The following is a 27,516-nucleotide window of genomic DNA, read 5'->3' on the forward strand; positions in this document are numbered from 1 at the left end:
GCTTCCCCAGCCACATGGAACTGTAAGTCCAGTTAAACCTCTTTCTTTTGTAAATTGCCCAGTCTTGAATATGTCTTTATAAGCAGCATCAAAATGGACTAATACAAGCATTAATAGCAAAGTAATACAAAATCAACAAGGGTGAAAGAACATGAAGTTGGAGATGGGCAGAGGCTAAATCTGAGACCTAGATCTGTGTTGGCCCAAACAAAACCTTGAGATTTGGACATAAAAGTAACAGAATGAGTGGTCTCATCCTCGTAGCAAAACAATTAAACAGAAAACAAGACCTCATTGATATCTCATCCATTTCAAATAATCTTTAATATTTTGAAATATGAATCTTCCAAAAGAATCGAGTCCTTCAAATGTACTGTAATTTATCCAGTCACCGACATGAACAGAAAATTTAATTTTATTTAATCATAGACCCCATTGAATACTACTGAAGATACTATATAGAAAAATGTACATACACAAAATTTGGATACATTTTCAGTTGCTTTATGGAACCATATGAAATGCATGCATTGACCTCAGCTTAAGGATCTTGGGTCTACATCCAGAATTATTGAGGAACATTTTTGAAAAAAATCAACTTTTATGTTATTATTCCTTTTTTCTGAAGTTGGCTGACTTAGCCTAGGTTCTCTAATGGAGGCTGAGACTAGCTTTTGGATGTAGGTGGCTTACTTTGGAAGTGAGCCCAGAGAGCAAGAGTAGAGGGCAAGATGGGTGGGGGTTGCAGCACGGAGGCAAAGAAAACAAATCCGAAGGTGTCTCACTGAATTGGCACTTGATCTCCCCAAGGGTGTTTTGAAATGTGTGTCAGAACCATCCATCTAGTGGATGAAGAGAGAAACCTGCTGACTCCTGTCTCCCATCCATTTCTAGTAGCTTCACAGTCATGAATTCTCCTGCACTTCCAATTGTACAATGGTGAATGTTGAGTAGCTTCTCAGGCCTTCTGTGGCCATAAAGTCAGAGAAACCATAGAGCAGAAAACAAGGGGTAGAGAGGTAGCCCTGGTGCAAGGTCTGGGTGCTGAGCATTGCACCTGGCAGAACTGACAAACGTTTGCTCAGAAGTAGTCTCTGCTACAGCAGACAGAGCAAAAGGAGGGGCCCAGGGAATTTACAGTAATGCTCAAAAGGTGCCCCTGACATGTGGCACACCCTCAAAAAGTTCATCTTTCTTTGACAGGAGAGGAAAAAAATGATTTTCACATACGATTACTTTTAATCATCCAAATTTAATCAAAGTCGTCTTGACTTTTATAAATGCATTGTTTAAAAATGTTACCTTTTTTCCTCATGCATTTATAGTCTATATCTAGGTTATTTAATTAAACTATATCCATTTATTTATAATAATACATATTATGTACTGCACTGTTTGCTTATTTTATGCACTGGAGCAAACAATTTATATATGTTTTTCTCGATGCATTCTTACAACAAGCCTATGAAATAAGTACTATTATCCTTTTTTTCATAGATAAGGAGAATGAGATGATTATATCACTCACCAAGGGTCAGCTGGGTAGTATGGGGGTTGAGGAGGGATAAGGGTGAAAGATTCAAACACAGGTTTTTCTAATACCAGGGCTATAAGCCACTATGTTTCTCAAAATCTAGTGTGCATCAGAGCCAATTGGAAGGCTTGTTAGAACACAGAACACTCTTTTCTCCCCCGACTTGAGCTTCTGACTCTGCAGGTCTGTGGCAGAGCCTAAGAATCTGCACTTCTAACAAGTTCCCAGCAGATGATGCTTCTGGCATGAAGGCCACACGCTGAGAGCCAGTCACTACACCATGCTAACCAACCTCTCTGAGGGACGCACCACTTCAAAACAGCAGCGTGAGATCCTTCCAAACCACATTCCCAAACATTTATTCTTCTGTTTCATCTTGACTTTAGTGGAAAGATGATATTGGAGAAGTTCTTCTGAGATGACCTCTTTCTAGAACACAGTGATTTTCTTTGCCACCCTCCCCACCCCTGCCCCACCCAATCCCTAGTACATGACCAAGGGTTTTGGGCCCATTAGCTGTAAAAACGGGCTCAGCTCCCAAGACATTTTCTTGTTGGAACGCCAAAGAAGCACATCCGTCTTACAAATGATGTTTCAACTCTGTCTAAAATCTAAATATTTATGAGAGTGAGGTTAGCTATTTGGCATGCGATACATACTTTTTTGTTAAAGTTTTCCCATTAGAAGACAGTTGCTCAGGAAAGCCTTAGAAACGAATATTGCATTTTGTTTCATAAAGATTGTGGAAAACTAAACAGCAAGAGAATCCACATTCCAATTGCTGATGAGAAGTGAGGACATGTTCCCACAATCATTCTGTGCTAATGAATTATAGTCTCAACATACAGCAAGCCTCAGCATTGTGTTTCCAAGACATAATTAAGGAAGAAAAGTATTATAGTATTATGACTTGAAGAATGAAATTTATGAAAGAAGAGTGACTGGAGGAGAAGATTGTAGCAGAGTTTGGCTGACCTAAGAGAAGAAGCAGTTCAGGAAAGGCACAGTGGAAAAAAGGCCATGCAAACTGGGTCCTAGTATTCCCTGCTGGGTCCTGGCACTTTTGAGTATGGGATATGGATGCAAGCAGATATAAGAGTCTGCCAGGGTTAAGAACACTTTGTAGTCAGCCACACTTAGCTCTTCCAGTTACAGCTTGTGAATTTAGGGTGAAAAGATTGTTCCACACCGTTAAGGTCAGGATGTCAAATTCATGCTACCACACTAGAATGTGGCTAGATTTAGGAAAAGAAATCTCTACTCAGGTGTCTAGAAGGTCACTCAGACCATTTTTCTTGAGATATGAATTTTATCTTTCAAAGACTTAATGGGAAAATGTGATCTTGGAGTCAAACAGACCTAATTTTATGCTCTGTTCTGTCTTGGGTTACATTGGTGAGTCTGTATGAGCCTTGATTTTGCTCATTCAGTTTCCTCCTCTTGGGATGACGCTCATCTTGCAGGGTCAATGTGAGGAGTACCGGAGGCACAGTCATCACAGCTTGGTCTTGTATGATGAAATGACGCTGCTCCTAGAACAGTGCCTAGAACATAGTAAGAGTAGGTCTGCAAGATCAATATTCATAAAGGCATTTGCTTTAATATTAATATCCATAAAGATATTTGCTGCTTTCAAGGAAGACACCTGAGAAGGAGCATTTCTCTATAAGCAACTGCAATATGTGCTTTACTTCTATGTTTCTTGGGGCTCTGTCTGCTCATATTTAGAGGTTTAGACAGATAAAATGTTTAGGTTCAACTCACTGCACAAACATAGCGACATTCCTTTTACATTGAATTAGAAGTTGAGATATAGGAGAAAAACAACAAAGATGGAAAAGAAATGGCATAAGAAAAGAGAGGGAGACAGGTGCTAGGGGAAGGAAGGGGTTAGGGAAGGGAGGGGAGGGGAGGGGAGGGAGAGAATAAGAATGAGAATGAGAGGGAATAGGAGGATGTCTAAAAGTATGTGGCAACTGAGGCATCCTAAGTCATCCAGGACCACAGAACTGATTGTCTTCTTAGCCAGCATCGCCAGCTCGGTGAGGCTGAACCAGGTGCTCCATAAATATCATTTAATTCACAGCAGTTGGATAGCAAGTACAATGTTTGTTTCCACTCTAAAAACAAGAAATCTAGGAGATGAGCTGCGATGGTGCTGAAAAGTGATCTTAACCACTGCACCCCATGCCTCTAGAGCTTAGCCCACCTTTCCAATGTGTCCACCCCATGAAGTGCCCTGTTTCTCCCCCTTCCCACAAACTCTGGAATATTTGTGAAAACTATGAGGTGAAGACAGAAGGGATTCTTGTAGAGTATTGCAGCTTACATTTCTTCATTTCGATTTGAAAATTTGGGGGTAAAAGGCAGAAGGCTATAAAGAAGAAGATGGCAAAAAGACATGCCATGGCTGAGCCCTTCTCTCTGTAACTTTGTATTTACAAATGTGCCAGAGAAAAATTCATGGGAGAAGTTTGGGGCCTTGGAGAGTGAAGAGGGAAATCTGAAAATAATACAAAACATAAACAGAAAATAATAAAATTGCAACTTCAAAGCCATTATAATTTTATTATGATTTTCAACTTGAGAGAGGACAGAAACAAAAGTATCTATACGAATGCCCTTTCAGATGACTCATCAGTGAGTTAGTGTACTCTGGGATATTCTGCTTTCATGAGGACGTATGGATATGTTAATATTTGGAAGTGCTTTAAATGATGGTTTAGGTTGATAATGTTTGTTGAGTTATTGTTATGAAGAAATTTTAGCATGAGCCTTAACATTATTTTAAGCAATCATTTTTTGGAATTCCAGTACTATTGATTCAAATAATATTAGTCTTGTTGATATAAGTTTATGTGAGAAGTGATTGAATAATTCTTAGATTTTGAGAATTTATTCATTCTAATCTCTCTTTAGTCCATAGTCCATTTAAATTATCCTGTTCAATTTTTAGAAGAGCAATAAAGAGACTTACAATACTCAACTCTCTCTCTCTCTCTCTCTCTCTCTCATATAATAAATGACAGAATAAAGCAGCACATTTCAAGAGTTAATAAGATCCACTCCTGTTGTATCTTATTTTTAAGAACAATTAACTCAACATATATTCACCCAGCATCTACCAAGACACACATTGCAGTAACCCTTAGAGATACCAAGAAAAGCAGTAATTGTTGCTCTTAACCAATCAAAATGTAGACCAGGAGATAGAAAAATAGTGTATGTGTTGATACTTGTTATAAACAACCACAAGGTATTAAGGCATTAAGGTTGAGAGGCTACCACTGCTTCAAACTCCTCACACTGTAGTTTGTTTGTTTTTCTAGAACAACCATGAGCAGAAAACTACAAAATTTAGTCCAATATTTAGGTGTGTATTGGGTTCTTCCCATGTCATACTTCAAGACTTTGTGATTCAATTTGGGACTGGTAATGGTATTTCCCAAAGCTTAATAATATCCATCATCATTTAGGTACTGGGATTTCAAGATGATCACTAGAAAACTACTTATGAAGTACTCTTGGCATCTTGCATTTCTCTGAGGGAGCTGGAGAAAGTGGCCAAAGCTGTAAGCTAAGTGTTTGCTCATACAGTTTGCCTTAGATAGGGATCACAAAATTTGGACTTCTCTCCCATTCTACCGATCCAGTACTTCCAAACATATTACAGCTTTAAATTCTGTAGGGGACTGAAGGACTACTTAGAGAATGAAGAGAAAAAAGTGACTATCCAGTTTAATTTTTCTAAACCACTCCACGGAGCTCTAGTAGCTTCATGTATAGCAAATGGAAAATTCACTCTGTTTAGAGCCTATCCTCACAAGAAAGACATTTGACATCAGAAAACCCTAGGCTACCCACCTCCCGCCCTGCCATGCTCAGGAGCAAATCTCTGACTTTATGAAGTGGACAGTTTTTTGTATACTTTTGATAGGTTTGTGTGTGTGTGTGTGTGTGTGTGTGTGTGTGTGTGCAGTGTGTTGCCTGCTCCCTGGAATGCCTTAGCACTGGAAATAGATTCAGTCTCTTCCCTTTGATTTCCACAAATTCCTTAATTTTTTCTTGTGTTATATTTTGTGGAGCTTCCGGTTTGGGTTTCTTGCTGTGATGTGGGAACCCTGTTGCACTTCTGGAGTTATTTTTGTATTTTGAAAGTTGTCAGTAAGTTACTGAATTCTTTTGGTTTCCATTTTATATTCCTTCATTGAGGTACTAAATTTCCTTACACACAAAAAAGGAGCAACATAACAAACAAATAAAAGCAAAGCACCGAAGCGGGTGGATCACTTGAGGTCAGGAGTTCGAGACCAGCCTGGCCAACATGGAAAACCCTGTCTCTATTAAAAATACAAAAATTAGCCAGGCATGATGCCGAGTGCCTATAATCTCAGCTATTTGGGAAGCTGAGGCAGGAGAGTTGCTTGAACCCGGGGGGCGGATGTTACAGTGAGCCAAGATCATGCCACTGCACTCCAGCCTGGGCAACAGAGCAAGACTCCATCTCAAAAAAAAAAATGAAGCAAATGATAGGGGAAAATACCTATCAAGTGTGTGGTGGGTCCTTCCATCCACATAGGGCTTTCTCCTTGGTGTAGGGTTTTGTTGGAATCCCTCTCCCCCAGTTTTGGACTTCCATAGCTGGCAGCTCCTTTCTAGACTAGAACTTTCCACTGCTGGAACAGGGAAGCCACCTAGCTCCTGCTGAAGGCCAGCTTTTGGGTGATGTGACAGGCTGAGCCTTGCTGTTTGGGTCTTATGTTCATTACAAAATAAGTTTCACCAAGCTATTGCTTAGGAGTCAGAGAATGAAGTTTCAGTTACTATTCACAGAGAAGAATATAATCTATATTAATGAAGTGGAGCATTTGGCCAGGTGTGCTATAATCCCAGCACTTTGGGAGGCCGAGGTGGGCGGATCATGAGGTCAGGAGATCGAGATCATCCTTGCTAACACGTTGAAACCCCGTCTCTCCAAAAAAATACAAAAAAATTAGCCGGGCGTGGTAGCAGGCACCTATAGTCCCAGCTAGTCGGGAGGCTGAGGCAGGAGGAAGACATGAACCCGGGAGGTGGAGCTTGCAGTGAGCTGAAATTGTGTCACTGCACTCCAGCCTGGGCAGCAGAGCAAGACTCCGTCTAAAAAAAAAAGAACTGGAGCATTTCACCATAGGTTCACAATACTTGACACAGAAAGTAGAAGGTATAGAATTTTAAAAACTCATGCCAGTCAGGGAGCGGATTTTCTTTTTTGTATAGGGGAATAATCTCTTCTTTGTTCTATAAATGAAGAAGATTGGATTCCCTGCCTTAGGGGAAGGTAGAAGCTTTTTGGCTCACTGAAGCCTGAACTTTTTGTAAGAGCCCTTGATATATGGGGGTTCTGCAGAGAAGGGATCCATCCCCCTGGTAAGTGTAGTTCAAAGTGGGAAATTTATGTTCCCTGAAATGTTTAGAGAAAGTTCAGTGCTGATAACATGAACCCAAGACCTCCTCAGTGGGGGCCCTGAGCTTGGAAGCCCTTTTGCTCTTGACTCATGATAGCCTTGGGCTTGGGGGAGCTGAGCATCCAGTGGGTACCAACAGAATTCTGCCCTTGGATCCCAGCATAAGCCATTGCCACAGAACCGGCGGGGATGTGGGCCATGGCAGGCATCTACCCCACAATGCACAAGTACCCACCAGGCTCTACTAGGTCCCTGCCTAACAGTGACACCTTGTGACAGCAGAAGAGGCAGTGTAACTATTATCTCAGGGGCCAGAATAGTCAGCTATTAATAAACCGGAAATACTTTTTACCATGGACCTAATCTGGAGTTTAAAAACTTATTAGCAATGCCCCACATATGTTCCTTGCTAATAACAGTGTTGGCAGATGGGTTGATTTGATAGCAGGGAAACTTTCACATCCTCTCCCCTTAGATCAGTAGGTGTGGGGAGAGAGGCAGGTGGTCGTAAGACACCAAAAGCAACCCCACACATCCAAGCTCATAAATTACCCGTGGAGTGACGTTTACAACTCTTACTTAACGATTTTAAAATACAACTGGGTTAACTTAGGGAGTCATTGAATGTTAGTTAGGCTGATGAACTGAAAAGGCAGTGTGCATGTGTATGTGCCTGGGTGTGTGTATGTGTGTACGTGTGTATGTTCTACTGTAAGCCCTAGTGGAAACTCTGCTATGGTCCCACTTCACTAGATCATCCTGGCTCATTCAGTGGAGGGCATCAAATTCACAGGCTTAACTAGGAGAGACTGACTTTTGTGCCTTGTCTGTGCTTCAGAGCATCCACTGGACTCCAAGAAGCCTATGGTCAGCTGTAGCCCCCATACACACAAAAGAATTTTTCTTGCCCACTCTACCTAAAACCAATCTCTTTCAGTGTGACAGAGTCTTGAGAATCTGTCTGATTCTTTGGTGCTTCATTCTGAACTGGTCCTTTTGTGGAAGGTTGAAATGTCCTCAGTTGGAATGCTTCCTGTTCAGGTCACTATCACTGATGTCTGAGCCTGGGAAAAGTCAAAGGATGCTCAAGGAGTGAGGTTGTGTTGATTATTTCAAAGTAATTTTATAAAAATCAGGCCAAAAGATGGTAAACTACAGTTCTCTTTTACTTAAAGAACATCATATTGAGAATTCGTTAACAGTCAAACCAAGCAAAGTTTCTCCTACCTACGGTCAGTGCAGTATTTTGAGAAACAAGTGGAGAGTTATAAGAAAAAGTCACTGTGCTATTGATCTGTGCTAATGGCAACGCAGATGATGACAGCAGATGAATTTAAACGTCTGAGCTAAAGAATTGTGTACCTTTTGCCCTAAACATGGAGAAAATTTAAAATGCTCTAAGAATCCCCTTGTTCTAACCTTTCTTTCTCCACTTTTTAACATATGGAGCTTTCCTGCAATTTAAGCAACCACATTCCAGAACACTAGGTTTAGAGAAAAGATAGGCTAGAGTAGAAGCAAACTGACAATTTATACTTTTTTTCTGCCTTCTATATAAGTTAGTGCCTGTTAATTAACCGGTGTGAAAAATTCAACATTACAGGGTAGGGTTATTAAACATTTTTAGGACCAATACAGTGGCAACAGCCTCAATCAGTGTAATGTACCCTCCTACAAGTAGTGCTTAATTACAGGGATTAGCAAGCAATGACTCTTTTAGTTAGCTTTAATTTTTCCAGACATATTCCAGCCAAAAAGCCTGGCTCCTCCATTTCACTGGTGTGTATGATACCAATGCGGAATCCAGTGGCGAGAAAGCGACTAGAAGACAATCTATATAATTGGCTGAAATGACATCTCTGAGGAGCAGATGCTCTGTAATCTTGCAAATCAAATTAAAAGCAAAACAAACTATTTCCTTTTAGCTGTGACCGAATTCAAATGTCCTTTTGGTATTAAAGGAGCAAAACAGTCTTAATTGTTTATTGATTATTCAAATCATATAAGCCTTAGATATATTAGTGTGGTTTAACTGGTTGTTTTTTAGCACAGGGGTCAGGGCTTAATGGGAAAGCCGGGTGCCAAGAGCTAAGAATCTCTGCTGCGTGAGAATGAGTCTTGATGTGCCTTCTCTGTTTGGGACGACCTGGGATGTGGAGCGCAGAGGTGGCCCCTTCATTAACCTGCGGGTTGCAGGAGCATTATAAGTAGTTTTTCTAGCTGACTGAAAATGAGCCTTGAGACCTCTATACGGAAACTTCTGTTTGGTCTTCCTTGCTGTGGAGACACCTGCCAAAAGTGAGCTGGCAAAGGATAAGAAGCAGAGCGGGGTGGGGGGATCCTCAAAGATGATCCGTTGCTACCCAAATGAGTTTTTGGTCAAAGTCTTTGAGCACAGTGCAAGAATGAAAAATAGAGTGGGAGGAATATTTTTCAGCTATTTTGCAATCTAATAATGTCAGCTTTCAGGATTGAGGAGAAGGAAAATATGGAGGGCAATGGAAAGGATTTAAGAATATTCTGAGATTAAAATGTTATCTTTAAATATTGTACTTCAACTGCACAGCGACCAAGGACTTTCATGCTGCCTGCCAAGGGTGACTAAATCTCAGTTTCCTTGTAGTAGAAAGTAATTAGCTGTTCCCTGCCACCACTAGGTGGAGATGTAGGTTTACACAGAGCTGACTCCCTGGCTAAAAATGGCCTGTGATGGCTGAAAAATCCTTAAGGAAAATTTTAAATGTTCAAGATTGATCAATTACGAACCATGTTGGTCACAAATTCACACTAATCTTTAAGGGTCCATCCCCTTAGATTTTAAAAAATCCTACATCACACAACAGCAGCAAAAATCCTTCAGTGTGCAGTTGTAAAGTTGTCCTTGTGAATTAGAATTATTATTTTTTAAGCCATAAGCTCTGATGTTTAAGACTCTGAGAGAATAATCACGCCATGTTATAAATTGTCTGCTGCCAATACACACATATTTTCCTTTATTCTCACACCAGCTGCTAGCTCATGCTATCAGTGGTCAGGAACAAACAAACAAAAACCACCCCTAAAAAAAACAGCACAGAGCTTCCTTTCCAACTTCACCCATGGAAGTGTGCCAGGAACTGGCAGGAGTTGGGAATTGTGTGTTCGAGTTTAAGGGGTTGTTTCTAAATGTAGTACTTTTTGAGAATCTCATTACCTCACATCTTGATGTGTGAAGTATGATTCACAGCGCAGTTTGCTAAAGGCTAGTTAGCTCTTGTCTCAGCGGTCTTAGGTGTCTAATATCGTATTAATCAAACCTTAGTGAAATGAAGCATTTCAGTTTGTTTTGGCTAAGCCTCTTCTCTCTACTGAGTTGACCCCTTTTCTTTTATGTAAACTTTTCTATACCCATTGGTGGATGGCATGGGCTATCAGATGGCTTCCAGAATAGACAATGGATACCAACCGTTTTCTAGAAAGGCAGAGAGTCATTTATTATTCCTCCTTTCACACTTTGTCTCCCAGATGAAAATGCTTCTGAAGTTCATTTAATCATTCAGTCACATTTTCTCTCCCCCCCCATTCTCTTGGTCTCTTTCATAGAAAGAATACCTCATAGATTTCATCTAAGTTGCCCATGTAACCCTACTCTTCAGAGGGGCTATTCCACCTGCCAGGATCCCATTTAAAGACCCAATTTTCTCATGAAGAAAAGGGACTCTCCATTTATGTCTGGGAAAGTTCAAACAGCAATATAGTCATTGCTTCATTGCAATTACGCAAGTCAAAATCTCTTCCAAAATGAGTATCAAACTTGAAAAATGGTGAATTTTGATAATAAAGCCATCATGGCCAAAATACATTAAAATTCTTATTAAATATTTTCTCCTTAAAATTTCAAAATGCTAAAATTTTTATTACTGTGCAGATTAATCTATGAAGAAAGGCAGAAGTCATTTTTAGTGCCCCATATTTACCAGTTTAAAAAAAGAAGGAACAAACAATTAAACATTTAAAAACCAAAATTTATATCTAAAATATTGCTTTCCATTTTGCCATTAATTTGTGTCTATAATAAGGTAGTATTAAGGTAACCTTCAATTTGTTTCTTTTATGTACACACCCACAATTAGGACCATACAAAATCAGATAATTTGTTCACAACGAGCACTATGTAAAGGGAAGCCCCATTTTTTAATTTCAATGATAGACTTTTTAAAAAATCATATTTTATGTCAGTAGATGTCACATTTATTAGATATTTTCTGATTCTAGGGGAAGGGGACTAGGTGTGGAGCACATCCTTCCTTGAATAGACATTAAATGCAGGCACGTTATGAGCAGAGCATTGCACGAAGGTTGAGGAGGATGCAGGGCTGACCAGCCCTGTTCTAGACCTACAGGAGTCTCATAGGCTAATCACAGGGTTCATGCATTTTAGGAACACCAACATCAGCATGCTACAAATATTATCTGTAAAATGGCTATTCTCTCTTTAGCAAAAGGAGCCTTAGAGTGTCTGGTAGAAATGTGAAATCTTTTATCCACAGGAAAAAATAAAACTTACCTTTATTAATAAGATACAACTTGTGTGTGTGCTTAATATGTGCTAGAGACTATACTGATTTAATCCTACAAAAGCCCAATGAGATGGGTACAATTATTGTTCTCATTTTGCAGAAGAAATTGAGTAACATAGAGGTGATGGAAGGTGCCAAAGAAGACACAGCTAATGAGTAGCGAGGCTACAATTCATACCTAGGTAATCGGACGGCAACATCAAGGATCTTACACGTTTTGCTGTCAAATACGAGTTCGTATTTGCTTTCAGTATCTTGTAACTTTTTTAATGAAGTTTTTCTTAAATAACTTGAACATATTAGTTATCCACAGAAATACCTTATAGAAGTACCACTTTTTTCAGAAGAGAAGCATGTATTTTTTTTCCTCAGCTCAAGTCCTCTTGCATATAATGCTATATTTAAAATTTAAAAATGACATTTTTAACAAGTCACTAGTTCTTTCAAAATAACTATAAAATATATTTTTAAAATTTTATTGTGCTGGTACACTGAATTCTAAAACCGTACACTTATATGAGGAGCGATAGTTGGAAAAACTGTAGTTATTTATTAGTCAACATTATTCCTTGCCATAGGTAGAAATGAATTAAGATAATAAAATATTTTAAGAATAAAACTCCATATTGATAAGTGAAAAGAACTGTTTCAAGCAATACTCAAAAATATCTGTCACACACACATTCAACACACGCATGAGATTGCTTCTGTGCAAAGTCATATGATCAACATGAACTTTCTTTGCTCAAGGGAGACGGACACTTTTGAATCATGAATATTGATAAGAACTAGTCCAGTTTAAAAGTGAAAGTCAAATTTCAGGCAAACTAAAACTTAGGAAAGTCCATATCTAGAAAAAGCCAAATCAGAACTTCATGCATGCCAGGAAGAAACGAAATTTCACTCTTTCCTCAAACTCCTCACTCTCCTCAGTGAGAGCCTGTCCCCTTTCATCCTGCATAAGTCTAAATACCACCTAATCAGTTACAGATTGGGAGGGAAAAAGGAGTGCTTGCCTAATCAGCTTTCTCCTGAAATATTAAATATTAAGAAAGGTCTCAGGGGAATCAGTCCTTGATATGATAACTCACTGATGTGTGTGTTCCATGTGCCGACACAAGCATACCTTCTAAGAAGCCAGTAATCATGAAACTTAAGGGTCATGCAAAGAAACCTCACGTTAAAACAAAAAAAGGATTGGATTGGTAGATGGAGTAGGGAGGAAAATTAGTTTCAAGAACCCTTCTTAACTAACCAATTATTTTGGCTTATCTTGTTATCTGTAATAACTCCAGCTGGACCCCAAATGAAACGTTCAAAGAAAGGCAAGCAAGCACTGCAGAAGAGATGGACTCAAATGGACTAAAAAGGCAGAGCTTGTTTTTGGCTGTAGCGCCCTTTTGCCATGACAAAGCTGGGAAAGGAGACACGCAGTCTGTCGCATTTATTTCTGATCAATCTACATAAGAATTGTCAGGCTGGCACGTTGGATTACTGCTGACTTGTGAGTTGAGATCCATTTGCTTCAGGTTTTCACTTTTCATTCTTAGAAGCCCTGGTCATCTCCACAGAACTGTATTTTGTGGATGTTTTCATTGTTGGGAATGTTGATCAAATTAGGTGGAAAAAAGAAAAAAAAAAAAAGGAACATGACCACCTTGAGATTCTCCTACATTGACAGAGCACACGTTTGATCAAAATGCAATGTCATTCGTCTTTCGTGGCTTTTTGTCGATCATGTTTGCTGGAAGGATAAGTGAACTCCATGAAAAGACATTTATCTAAATTATCCTGATAAAGTGCCATCACTCTGGGTAAAAAGAAAAATGAGCGAGAAGGCCAGACTCTACGCACATGCCTTCCACTTGAATTAACCGAGGAAAAACATAAAGACACATCATGCAACTAGTATTTTACATACATATGTGTGTGCGTGTAAACTAGGATCCTCTGTGCTAAAAGTTATCTTTGTGCTTATTCAACTCTTAAAAACACTATCAAAATCCTTATAATATACCGACCTTGATATAAACCAAGAATCATCACCGGCTCACTGATAGAAAGCCAGTAACCAAATTGTAAACAAATATAGGTAATGTCTGAGAGTCTATGTTGACAAGTAGATAAGAAGATAAATGTAGAGTTTTTCTTAATTAGCCTTTCTTAATTAAAAACAGGAGCAGTATTGTGATCAAAATGAACTCTGGTGGGAGCCTGGTCACTTGGTCTTCTGGGTATCACTTGAGGAAAATTAGATTTTTTTTTTCCCTTCTAGGATAAATTGTGCACTAAAGAAGGAATAAATGGTGTCTGTGAGCAGTGTCCCCTTGGTTTTTATCTGCGTGAGATGGATGTGCCTCTTGTCGTTTTCAGAATGGCGTGGGGGCAGACTTAGCCATCATTAGCACCCCAGGATGGATCCAATTCACTAATTACTTATGCTGTCCTGGTTCACTGAGATTTAAGTACCAAGTCAATCCCATTATCTGCAGTCTCCCAAGCTTGCCAGAGCCATCCGTCTTTCATGGAAAAGAAGCACAAGGGTTATCAATTGGGCCCTGCAAGACTTGGGATTTTCCTACTTTGGGAGAAGGCAAGATTAGTCCTGACTCAAGTCCAGGCCCCTCTAAGCCGCCACTTTGGATGCGATAAAAGAAAATGGTGACAATTATCCATAACTATGTGAAACACCAGGAGGGGAAAGGCAGGGAGCAAGGGGAAGGGAGGGGCGAAAGGGAAAAAATAATAATAAGGAGAGGTAAAAACGCACAGAAAAGAAAGAATTCCTGCTCCGCTGCAACACCAGGCCTGTGGTTCCAGGCAGTTTTTCACATCACCTCTGAGCTACAAATGACAATTCATCTGTTACAAACACATGATAATATAGTCAGAAATCAGGAATTAAAATATTCTGAAGGCCTGAGGCCCCCTCAAAGAAGAGGGATGGCAGGGGAGGGGGCCGCAGGAGGGAGAAGCCGACCCGGGAGCCTCCTGGGAGGGCCTCCTCACATTCGCCATGTTCAGTGTCCCTGGGCTGTGAGGCCGGGCCTCTGCTGTGTGGGATGGGTGATTGGCACCTGCTCTGCGGAGGGGAAGGGCCTGGCAGCTCCTGGCAGCATTGTCACGTTCATTTGCACACTTTAGGAAGCAGCAGTGTGGCTACTAATACAAAAAAGAATCTTCTAAGCAGCATGACATCTCTTGGAATGGAATATTTGTCTTTACAAATGATTGCTCTGCTGCCAGCACTTGACACGGTGCTCGCAAACATGTGTAATTGTTGGAAGTGTAATGATGATTATTTGCATATTTAATGTTCAAACAGTACTGAAGAAGCAACCTAGACTAAACCTTTTAGGGGAAGATTTGAATATGTTGGGCATCAGCCTGAGGAGTCCCAGGAAGGAGGAGGCAGCCAATGGAGAGCAAGTGCGGGAATAATTGGCTTAAAGTTCCACTGCACCACCCTGCCTTGGTGCCTTTATTCGTGTACACAATAGCTCTCCCTGGGCCCATATGGGGTAGAAGTTCACCAGCATCAGAAAGGTGCTTTCTCTTGGCTTTAGTTTAAACATTAGCTGCAAGACATCCTATTCCAGCCTGGTTTTACATTAACCAACTGTGAACCCAAGAACAGTATCCAGGAAATAGGGATGTGGGTAGACGTAGGAGGGAAGATAGGCATGGAATTCATTCCACTTTTTACCCACAGGCAAGTGGAAATTGTCCACTCATCTCTGGATCCCCCCAAAAAAAAACATTCTTAAGGAAATTATCTAGCTGAACTATTAAAATGGCATTATATTGAAATTTGTAAAAAGAACATTTGATTTTCCTAGAAAGTAAATGACTTCTAAGATTCCTTTCCAGTTTTTACTTGGTTGGAACCTTGTTCGATTAAATGTGCTTTTTCTCACAATATTCTTTAGAAATAGAAAGTACTGGGTAATTTGAATGAAATTAGAAAGATCTCTATTCCCAATTCCCCACCTTCCTCAAATGTAGACCCCAATTCACCCCTATGGTGCCCAGGTGTGAAGTTTAATGCTTTATCTTTCTGCTTCCAGGCTGTGACCACTGAAGTTTGCAAGTTCACCTTGGATTCATGGGGGCCTTTCCCCAAAGTAGCATCCCTTGTAGGAAACATTGCGGGAAATCCAGAACTCAGAAAGTGCCTATGCAAATGACATCCCGTTGCACCTAATTTCTTACTAGTGACAGAGCCACTGGCCCTGGGCACCTGGCGGCCTGCCTGCCTTTCCAGCCTGTGCTAACCAGACTCTCACAGCAGGCTGAGCTGTGCTTACCCACACATGCGAACGCATCTTGAACAACTTGAAGCACGGAGATGGGGCGGCATGTTCCAAATCAGCAGGAAAGGAAATTTCAGATGGTGGCAATCATCGCAGGGAAACGCACCTCACTGAAATCAATAGAATAATTTTTGATAATGTAGCCACTTGATCTGGTAATTGGGCCTTTCACCTGTAGTGAACGGCTTCACTGGAGACTTTCTTGAGCTATTAGATGCCTCTTACTTGGAGGCTATCCTGTTTTTATCTTTCAAAATATGTGGAGTAATTAGCTTTTGAGTTGAGTGCTTTCGCCTCTTCCTCACTCCCCTCACTCCCTTGCATTTCCACCCGCCCACCCCCAGCTTGCTCTTTTCCAGGCCTGCCCCCGCCCTGCCAGGAGCCACTTGGTATTGAGCCACTGCTCATCACAGAATTGTACAGTCGTTTGAGGGGCAGCACAATAAACCTCACTCCATTATCATCTTGTAAATTGATTTTTTTTTTAAATCTGGAGGGTGAGTAGGACTGCGCATCTGCATTCCCGACCCTTGTCTTCCTAGCCTTGGCTTGTAGCAGGGCTGAAGTACGATTGACAATGCTTCTAATCAGTGCTGTCTGGGGGCCAGGGAGTGATTTACCTGCAGTGGAGGAGGGTTGGCAATGTTACCTTGCATATCGTCCGATGACTAATTCTTTAGAAGTGAGACAATACATGTAGTATACTTCCGAGCATCACATTGGTTAACAGCTTTCTCATAAAATAGTGTTGGGAATATCAAGCCAAGGAATTACTGATAGTGAACAATTCAGGCATCCTTCCAAATCCATTCTTCTTAATTCTCCCAACAACCTGATGAGATATGTACTATTATTATAACTAAGTCCCCATTTTATGGATCAGGAAATCAGGGCATAGAGAAAATAAACAACCACCCTGACATCTCCAAGTTCACACAGGATGAGACTGGAATTCAAACCAAGGAATCTCAACCAGAGTCTGTGCCCTAGCCACTGCACTACCCTGCCTCTTAGGGTTGTAAGCTATACTTCCTGTCTCGATGTTACCTATGGGTACGATGTATGAATGCGAAACCAGTGTCATTTCCACAGGTCGCTACATGGCACTGCTTGCAAGACTCCGTCTGCCATTTTGTGTCACTTTAGAGACTCCAGAAGTGGAGACGATTACCACTGACAACCCCACAACAGTTCATTGCTCTCCCACCACATGGAATGCAGAAAGTTAAAGGATTTATTTTTCTAATACAACATTAAACAACCCTTGGGATACAAAGTTGAATTTTATTGCTTGTTAAATTATTTGAAGAGCAAAAGTATTTAAAAAGCATAGGACAATAATTAGCCGTATTTCTTTAGGGGTTTGTTGGTTTGACCTTAGCCTTTTAATCTGTCAAAGTATGCTAATCAGCCTGACAGACAGAAAGATCAAATACAGAGGCTGAGGCACTAGTAGGGAAAAGAGGAGAAGAGAGTAGATAAATGAAGGACCAACAGGACATGAAGGGGACCGTGGCCAATGGTCACTGCAGGTCTACCCTTCCAGAGTGACCCCAAAAGGCTCAGGGCTAGAGAGAGCCCCTAGAACAAAGCAAGTCACTGGTTTTGTTCCCAGTCCAGCAAAGTGAGCAAGCTCATCTGTGTTTGTTCCAGAAATCTTCTTTACCATGAGCTGAGCATGAAATGAATTGATTGTTTAAAAGGTTGTGGATGGGATGGAGATTATATCAAATCTTCTAATTTAAGGTTTAGATGTATGGCATCTACAGTTCCAGCTGAATGCCTTACATCATTCTATAACTCTAGTAGAAACGTTTACTGCTCACCAAATATCCATGTACTCCCCCATTTTTCAAGTCTCTCTGAAGCTCAATGGGCTATGCAGTTAGGTGAGTGGAAATGACAAGTGTCATTTTTGAGTCAAATCATTCAATATCAGGTGTGTGGCCTGACAGCTTTCTCTTTTCCTATTGTGGGGAGGAATGCAGGGCCAGGACTTCAGATGGTTCAGCTAACAGGTGAGGGATCCCCCATTTCCTGAGCTGTTCAGCAAATCATTAGAGTTGACCCTATTCTACATATACTATCAGCAAGAAATAAACTCTTGCATAGATTATTTGAGTTCACACATTCTCAACCCACCCTTTAGTTCATGACTATACATGACTCAGATAGGAAGAATGAAGGTGAAATCACTGATTCCCTCCTTACTGATGAACATTGGGCAAGATGCTTTCTATAAGTCATTTAACTTAGGTCTCCCAGGAGGAAAAAGGTTAGACATTGACATTTCATCATTTGATAAATGAAAAAGGAAAGGAAGCTCAGAGAGGGCAAACAGCTTGCCTAAGGACATGCAGTCACTCTGCTGGAATTCAAAATGTTTGGCTCTAAAATTTATGTTTTCTACTTTATTTCACCTAGCCTTCCCAAAAGACAAACTAGACTATTTAGGTTTCTTAGAAGCCAGGGAAGAGACTGAATGGTCAACTTATAGTTTTCTAAGCTTCCAAATCTATGATTCTGTGTTTAGTCCAGCAAGGTAGCACTCATATTTTTTCTCTGTAAGAGAATATCAAGATTCTAAATTTCTTAAAGTGGTATTTTTATCACCCGAGCAGGGATAGTAGAGGTATTTGGGAGATAACCCAAAAGAACTCCTAAGTTCCAAGGAGAAAGTCAGTCCAGTATCATAGCCCCTGCCCATTTCCATGCATTTCTCTCCTACCCAGGACCCCCCACATTATTATCCCTTGTTTCTTGATAAGCCTTTAGACTCTCTTGAAATTTCTGTCTTTTCACATGTTCCACATACAGTATCATTATCCCAAATACCTGTTTGTGTTGGACTATATTTAATATGTGAAGCAAATTAGTCATTAATCAAGTTAAAAAAATTGGTGTTATTCTGACTTCTCCCTCTTTCAAAATTATGAACATAATTCAATCTTTATATATGTCACCCCAAGCCACCAGAGACGTGTGTATCCCTATACTTACAACTGTACATCCCCACTCCCGCCCACGACAAGATTGGTGCTGTGAAAAGTCTCATAAGTCCTAGAACAAAAAGCATAATTAAAAGCTTTAAGAATCACTGAATTAGGCATTATGTTGTCTGGATACAAATGGATTGAAACCTGAACATAGGGGATGTGTGGAGGCCATTAAGGTGGCCCATAGTAAACATGATATTGTATTCAAGTTCATTGACTCAATTAACTTTTATTTAGCATCTAAGCTAATCCAGGAAGTATACTGTGGTTGGCCATATAAACACTATCATGACCCAGTCTTTGTCCTCATCAAAGTTACACTTGAGGTGGAAAACTGCTATTCATCATTGTTCACTCAATAATGAAGTCTCCTCTTAGCTCTCTGTCAACTATTCTCAAGGTCAACTTCTCTTCATCTGTCCTTCTTTTAAGTATTGTTGTCCTGTATGGCTGAGTCTTCCCCAACTTTCTTTCCTAACTATGAATGTGACCCATGAGTGATCTGATTCTTCATCTTTTCAATGTTATCTGTGTGCTAAGTGTACCATGACATGCCAGGAGCTCTCTCCTTCAGAGTCTTACCTGGATCTATGGCTGTCACTGACTCATCACCTTAACCACAACCACCACTACCATCAGCATCACGCTGTACCTAATTGTGTAGCTCTTTTTATGTTCCAGGCTCCGTCTCAGTGCTTTACATCATTATTTCATACATGCCCGATAGTGCTAGAGCTAAGACTGAAACCCATGTCTTCCTTGACCCCAAAGTCCAGCTCCTTAAAGAGTGTGTTTTTTAGATTTTCCCCCTGGGATGTCCAAAACTTCATTCCACATTGTATCCAACCCACCCTTACAATATCTCCAATTCAATAGAATCACCATTATCCAGCCAATAACCAGAAAACTGAAAGTCATTCACCTTCGTCACTCAGCAGGCTCTGCAGACTCAGACTTTTTAATTCCTCTCAAGTTTTCCAGTTTCCCTCCTTTCCTTATTTATTTATTTATTTTTTATTATTATTATTATTATTATACTTTAAGTTTTAGGGTACATGTGCACAATGTGCAGGTTAGTTACATATGTATACATGTGCCATGCTGGTGTGCTGCACCCACTAACTTGTCATCTAGCATTAGGTATATCTCCAGTGCTATCCTTCCCCCCTCCCCCCACCCCACAACAGTCCCCAGAGTGTGATGTTCCCCTTCTTGTGTCCATGTGATCTCATTGTTCAATTCCCACCTATGAGTGAGAATATGCGGTGTTTGGTTTTTGGTTCTTGCGATAGTTTACTGAGAACGATGATTTCCAATTTCATCCATGTCCCTACAAAGGACATGAAATCATCATTTTTTATGGCTGCATAGTATTCCATGGTGTATATGTGCCACATTTCCTTAATCCAGTCTATCATTGTTGGACATTTGGGTTGGTTCCAAGTCTTTGCTATTGTGAATAATGCCGCAATAAACATACATGTGCATGTGTCTTTATAGCAGCATGATTTATAGTCCTTTGGGTATATACCCAGTAATGGGATGGCTGGGTCAAATGGTATTTCTAGTTCTAGATCCCTGAGGAATCGCCCCACTCACTTCCACAATGGTTGAACTAGTTTACAGTCCCACCAACAGTGTAAAAGTGCTCCTATTTCTCCACATCCTCTCCAGCACCTGTTGTTTCCTGACTTTTTAATGATCGCCATTCTAACTGGTGTGAGATGGTATCTCATTGTGGTTTTGATTTGCATTTCTCTGATGGCCAGTGATGGTGAGCATTTTTTCATGTGTTTTTTGGCTGCATAAATGTCTTCTTTTGAGAAGTGTCTGTTCATGTCCTTTGCCCACTTTTTGATGGGGTTGTTTGTTTTTCTCTTGTAATATATATATATTGCCTCAGCAGAGGTCTTCACTAAGGCTCCGAATCACTGCCTTGCTTTTGAGGTTGTCTCTTTCAAATTGATTGTTGATATTATTTGTTGAGAGGTAGTCCCAACTGAAGACCTAAAATTCAAGTGACTACCCCTGCTTTAAATCCTCCAGAGATCCCTCACAGATTGCAGGACAAAGCCCTGACCTTCTGTCTGGCAGAGCCAGCCCTTTTGCCCTGTACTTGTTCCCTGGCCAAGGGCCTGCTGGCAGCTCTCTCCAGGTACCACCTCTGCCTTCTCACTCAAGGGCCTTTGCACAATGTAGTTCCACTTCCCTTCTCTGACTCACTGCTAATCACTGGTCACCTTCAACTCAGACATCACTAAGGCCTTTCTACCACCCGCCCCTTCTTCAGACTGACTTTTAGCATGTTCGATACAGAATTACATCACTACCTGAAAACAACCCAGTGAAAGAAGGCAAAACAGATATTATTTTTATTGCCTTTTTATGGGAATGGAAACTGATGTTTAGGATGTTTAAGGACCACACATAGGAAACTGGTTAATATAAGAATTAAATAAATGGCCTTGGATTCTATATCCTGTGTTTTTCTAGGCAGTTCCTTTCAACTTAGAATTTAAAGGTGCTATGGACCGTCCCTTTTTCTTTCCTTTAAGATGTTTTTTCCTATAGAAGGGGTCATGTGTTTCTCACCTGCATCTTTTTAACAACGCAAGTAGAGTGTACAGTTCTTTTTGCACTTGGTGTCTTCCATTCTCCTTTGTCTCTTTCTATGCAGACAGAGTGTTGCCCTGTTAAGAAGAAAACTTGGCTAGAATCTTCCAAATACTTGCTGAGTGACATTGGGAATGTCACTTCATGTCTCTGAATTTAGTTCTCAAATTTGCAGTGTGATTGAGCTAGGAGATGCCATCTAAGCTCAGACGTCCTGTCTTGCCCTTGCATTCTATATTGCCAATAAAAATAAATTAAGCCCTAGAACAAGTATTTTGGCCAATTCATTTTTCACAACATTAGAATGCTGCCTATCTAAAAACCATTTTAAATACTCAGTTTTATAAGTAACCTAAAACTCCTTGATAACTGAAATAGGGATGCCGTGAATAGGGGACTTGAATAGGATTCATCTTTTAGTTGCTGAACAAATGCAGATATATTGACTAGGGCCAGAAGGAAATGTGGTTATTGGACCAATAATTAGGTTCAATTTTTACCTTTGCCTGTGATTAGCAGTGAGTGTGAAGCATGTCATTGTCATGTCAAGTACAATAGCTCCATTCCTTACTTCACTTTTTCTGTGTCTGAGACAATGGATATCAACACCCTTTGAAAAGTTCTAATGGTAATAAAAGGTATCACTCCCATTAACCGTTGGCCTTTGATAAGTCACTTTCTATCTCTAGACCACAATTCCCACTTTTTAAAAATGAAAGAATTTAGATAATTTTCTTCTAAAGTTTTCATAGTATGGAAATAAATAATAATGATGTTGATGATAATAATCACACAAATATTGAGCTCACAATGTGCTAAGAACTGTGCCTGACACTTTAAGCCCATGGTATCATGAGATGGCCTTTTGACGGGATGATACCCACATGGATTTTCAGTTCTTAAAACACAAAATCTAGAGTAGCTAACGTGGGCAGTGATCTAAATAGAAAGATGCTTTTAAATCTTTCCCCAGACGAGATTTTTTTATCACCAGGCTCCGTGGTAGAACTTAAAATTATATCCAATGCCTACTTTTTCTAATTTGTAATTATGGCCTTATACACCTCCTCTACCCGCACCAACTATTCAACATTCTCTTAACAAGCACATCGATCTATCTCTTTGCTCTCTCGATGCCATTGCCTTTTCTAATTTTGGAAGTCCTAGATTTCTTCCCCTGGACATTCCTTCCTTACCTTCCAGGACTGAGCCTTATAGGTCACTGTCTTTCTTGAGCTGTCCCTAAAAAAGTTGCCTTGGCCAGGATGCATCTTGCCTCCTCAGTACTTCCTGTGCATTGGCGGGTTCATGAAATGGAATAGCACTGGGTTGCTAACATTTTGTTTAAGTTTTCCTTTCCTTCTAAGCCTATGACCTCCCCCAAGACAGAGGCTGTGAGTGTTGTACCTAGGCATCCTGTCAGCTAGGGAGGCCTCAGCACTTGTGGGTAGTATGTGAGAAGTTTATGAAAAGATGACTCAGATGAAGTTTATGAAAAGATGACTCAGTGAATGTTTTCCACCAGTTTTGCTTTCTCTGTTTTTCTGGAAAATAGACCGTATAGTTTCACTCTGATGTTCCCCTCTTCCAACTCTGCCTATAGCTGAAATAATGAATATAAATGGCAAACAAGTAAAAGTAAATATAAGCATTCAAGTTTGGCTTGCTTTTTCCATCCTGAGTACTGCAAACTACTTAAATTTACATTTACAGAAGGCCAAAATCTTAATTTGATTTCTCCCACTAAAGGTCTTAAAATTCAGTCTGTTTCAACATGTGGAAAGTTTACTATTTGCAGGGCTGTGTGCCGGAAGGTGTGAGGGATGTGGGGAAGAATGTCGCTGTCCCTGGAATTGAAGAGAGTGGCACAAAAATCTTCACCATTCTAGAATAGGATTAGTGCTACAGGATATTTGGAAGCAAACTGCCATGATAGACCAGAGAGAATGGGGACATTTTTAGGTTAGGGGACAGTCTTCCTCACTATTAAACAGTGAAACAATTACAAGAAATAACAATCAGCAAAGGGAACACCAAGAGGGCACAGCACTCACCAAAACCATGGGGCCAGGCCAGGCCATGCAGGAAACAGCAAGCCCTCATGTTGAACAGAATCCAAGCCAGGTGACTGGAAGGAGAGACTGAGGACAACGTGGGTCCAGGTACCAGGAGTTTAGGTTTCAGTATGAGGATGGCTGAGAGCTGAGAAAGACGTTTAAGCTGAGGATGAAGGGCCTGGTCCAGGGTGGAACCCAGGGTGGCTGTGCTTTGGGTTTCCCCTGGCTCAGCCTACAAGAGCTTAAGAAGGAAGAGTCAGCGGTGGCCCTGGAAGCTCCTGTAATCATTCAGTCCTACGTGAATATATTGATTACTCCAGAGAGATTATACAGGCAGGTATATTATAAACTTCTCCTCATGGAGAGCACCTGTCCAATGTAGAACGGTATTCCTAAGCCGCCGTGTGAAACACAGTTATATTATTAGCAATTGCAAGAATTGGAACTTTGAAGAAAAGGTCTGTGAAATAACAGCATCCAAAATGGCAGCCAAGTCCTAGCCACACTTGAGTTTCCTGAAACACAGAGCCCGCGACTTAAAAAGACGGTCTACCCAATTTGGCGGGGACCGACCATTTTGCAACTGATTCTTCCTTCCTGAATTCCTTGTCGGGCCTTACCTCCCATGACAAGGGATCACAATTGCTCTCACCGCACTTTCTGCATGCCCGCTCCCCTGCACACACCCTTTTTTTTATGCCTTGGTACCCATCAAGAGCTCCCCTTGCTAGTTCCTTTTCTTCTCTCCTCAAGCAAAAATACTGTGTAAAGTGCTATGGTAAAATGCTCCAGGAACGAATGTAAAGGCCGAGGTGACAGGGGGAGGTTCCTTTCTTCAAGAAGCAATATCGTAGAGGTGGGCTGTCAGGGAGCCTGCAAGATCTGAAGTTTCAGGGACTGAATGAAAGGAACACTCGGCTAACAAAACAGAGTGCCGCCGAGGACGCTTCATCTGCTAGGGCCAAATCCCTTCTTTCTTTCTATCCTTTCTTTCCTAATAACAGCTGCCCTCTCATTCCATGTTACTCTGCTGTGAAGAACAAAACCTCCCTCTGACTATCTGTTTTTCTTTTCTTCCCCAGAGTAGGTCTCATTACTGGTGATTAGCAGATGATTAAAACCAATTCAGCTTCCCCCAGTAGATATTTTCTCCCTGTTTGTGCCTAACGCGTCAGCCTTCAATGAACGTGCTCCTAAGCTTATTAACAGGCTCAGAGGATTAGCTGCCGCCAAGCTCGGTGGCTCCCATATTGTGATGCAGGGAGTGACATGGAACCATTTGCTGAGCGCAGACAGGACCGCTGGGACCAAACTATCTAAATCACAATTTTATTTTCCATGTAGAGCAAGATAAAAGAAAACCTAACAATAATTACAAAAATCAAACGTTTGGACAAGTCTGAAAATATCCTTATATTCAGTGGCAGAAAACAGGCTAAACCAATCAAGAAGGGCATCAATGTTGTGCGTGTGTGTGAAGGTGTGTGTGTAGTTCACATGAATGTAGAGTCATGTGGTTTATCTATGCTCCTGTCCATGTACAAAGATAAAAGTTCTCGTTTAGCCTCTGCATTCACTCTGGTGCCTAAACAGCCTGTGTTTGTACAGTCACATATGGATAGATTTTTCTTTTAACAGAGACTGAAGAATCGTGAACATAGAGTATAACAGGCTATGAATTTTGGTAATATTTTAAAGAGCATCTAATCCTCCAAAATTGTGAAACTTGAGTTGGATATTGGCAGATACAGACAAAGGAATTCCAAGTAACTGGTTTCACTTCTGTTTCAAAACCAGAAATATACCATACGGTTTTTAAAGTTTAGGAGGACTGTCTCCCTATCTGAAAGTGTTTTATTTCTTGGATAACTAACTAAACAATAATGATAATAATAGTCACAAAAGAATAGTGATATATTTATTAGCTGGGACCATAATTAGTAGGTTAGAAAGCAAAAAGGAACATTGCTTCAGTTCTAAAAGGAGAAAAACCTCATGGTCTGACTCTGGTAGATGCACTTAAAAGGTTGTATTCTGGGGGGACGGGACTGCTTTATTGTTACAAATGATCTCTTATTCTAAATCTTTCAGTTTTTCTCATTTAGTTTTTTCTACCTTTTCAATGCAGCTTAACTCTGAGCATGCTGGAGCTTGAAATCTAGTTTCCGATTCATAATAGCAACAGGGTTTGCAGAAAATGTCAACAAATCCCTCATCATCAGGAAATGTAAGAAATGTGAAAGGTAAGTCATGTCAGTCTCCCCTGGTTGCGTGACGGAATAAGACTGTGGATGAAGAGAAGGAAGGAAAAATCCAAGCAAAACAGATACTACAACCAGGCTCTGAAACCCAGCAGTGCTAGTAAAACAAAGGAAAACCCGAGGAAACAATAGGGAAGTAACGAGGAATTAGAGGAAGATATTGTCAATCACTCAAAATGGCACAATCACATTTTATTTAATTCCAATCATTTAATATCTAAGAGAAAATGACAGACAAGGAGTTCTTATTGGTTCAATTTTACCAGCATTAAAAAATTTCCAGGAATACCCCTGACCTTGGATGGCCCCAATAAGTAGGTAATTGCTAAAGGATCAATTCTCTCCTCATTAAACAATAGGCCCCAAACAAATGCAATATGTGCAATCAAATGACAGTGAAGCACAGCTGAAGGTAACAGAATACAAAGAAAGCTTAAGAATGATATTCACAAAAGTGCTGTGATAAATACCAGGAAAACATTTATAATCAAGGACCCATAACAATGTAACTGGGATGTGCAGGAGAAAGTGATGGTTTAATAAGCTTCAAAATCATTTCACGACATGCCTATGAGGCATAACATACAGGAAGAAAGCATTGCAGATGATTACACAAAGATAAATATTGTTTCATGAAATATTTTTGCTTAGAAGTATTTCACTGGGACTTGAGAGAGTTTCAACATCAGTATAGAGGCAAGTTCATAAGCAGGGCAGTACCAGCCTCAATAGATGAATAAAAGAAACTATGCCATGGGAAGGGGAAGATATTTCTGTTGCCTCCTCAGCCAGCTCTGCATAGCACAAGGCCAGTGCAACATTTTGAACTGACATCCTCTCACCTACTGAATTAAGCATCACAAAAATAGAATCACTTGCTTTTTTTCCTGCAATTCCTAAAAAACAACTCCACAGAAATGGTGGATCAAAGTGCAATGACTATCATGCTGCTTAAGGAATCCTAGAATTATTTCTGACTTCTTAATAGAGAGGGTCATTTTTTCCTTCACTTTTTTTCCTTCACAATTTGCCCTGTTTTCTTGTTTTCAGTGTTATAAGATAGAATTGCACAATCCTTATGTTAGCACCTGTCAGGAGAAAATGCTGCCTTCACACTCCCGCTCTCATTATCACCAGGGTAAAAGGCGGTTAACAACTATAGACTTAGGTTTGGACCAGCTCCGAAAATTACTAATGTTATAACCTTGATGAATTTACTTCGCCTCTTTGAATTTCAGTTATGTCATCTGGAGTATATGGGAAACAATACTTCTTTCTTAGAATTAGCAGGATTAATAACATAACGAGGGTTAGTCAATGTTCATGAAGGACTCAACGTAGCACTTGGCATAGAGTTAGCTCACAGTGAATGTCACTCATATTATTAGTAGTGTCATCAAGAGAGACACATTTTATCTAATACTTTCTGATGTAGATGAGACAGCACTAAAGGAATTATTTGAATGAATGAAAATACTTATATGAAGTTTGAGAGAGAGGAGCTGTCTCTGAGAAACCTGACTCTTGCAGGAGTAGAAACCTGGAAGTGGATCAAGCAGAAAGATACAAGTATAAGGGACAAGGTGCTCATTAAAAGATCAATAGCAATAAATGGGTGTTAGAGATAATAAATACAATCAGAGAGGGGAGGGGGTTGCTAAAAGCTAGGAAACATGGTACTAGAACTGGGGCTTGAAGAGAGAGGTGAAGAAAGCAGAAAAGGAGCCTTCCCAGGA

At 40.4% G+C, this 27,516-nt stretch overlaps 4 annotated features.

Moving 5' to 3' along the window:
* Positions 248-4,034: an enhancer, noted in NCBI's record as "VISTA enhancer hs1581". NCBI's record gives its function as "enhancer in: eye[7/8]" and the evidence as "EXISTENCE:transgenic organism evidence [ECO:0001131][PMID:17130149]".
* Positions 17,071-17,174: a silencer, noted in NCBI's record as "fragment chr2:103785519-103785622 (GRCh37/hg19 assembly coordinates)". NCBI's record gives its function as "represses an EF-1alpha promoter that drives an FKBP-Casp9 reporter gene in an ReSE screen in phorbol 12-myristate 13-acetate-treated (for megakaryocytic differentiation) K562 erythroleukemia cells {active_cell/tissue: K562(+PMA)}" and the evidence as "EXISTENCE:reporter gene assay evidence [ECO:0000049][PMID:32094911]".
* Positions 22,561-23,760: an enhancer, noted in NCBI's record as "BRD4-independent group 4 enhancer chr2:103791009-103792208 (GRCh37/hg19 assembly coordinates)". NCBI's record gives its function as "activates an origin of replication core promoter dependent on BRD2, P300/CBP, MED14 and CDK7 cofactors, and independent of BRD4, by STARR-seq in HCT116 cells {active_cell/tissue: HCT116}" and the evidence as "EXISTENCE:reporter gene assay evidence [ECO:0000049][PMID:35650434]".
* Positions 23,880-25,371: an enhancer, noted in NCBI's record as "VISTA enhancer hs1093". NCBI's record gives its function as "enhancer in: midbrain (mesencephalon)[9/9]" and the evidence as "EXISTENCE:transgenic organism evidence [ECO:0001131][PMID:17130149]".

Source organism: Homo sapiens, chromosome 2, assembly GCF_000001405.40.
Source record: "Homo sapiens chromosome 2, GRCh38.p14 Primary Assembly".
NCBI classification, from domain to species: Eukaryota; Metazoa; Chordata; class Mammalia; order Primates; family Hominidae; genus Homo; species Homo sapiens.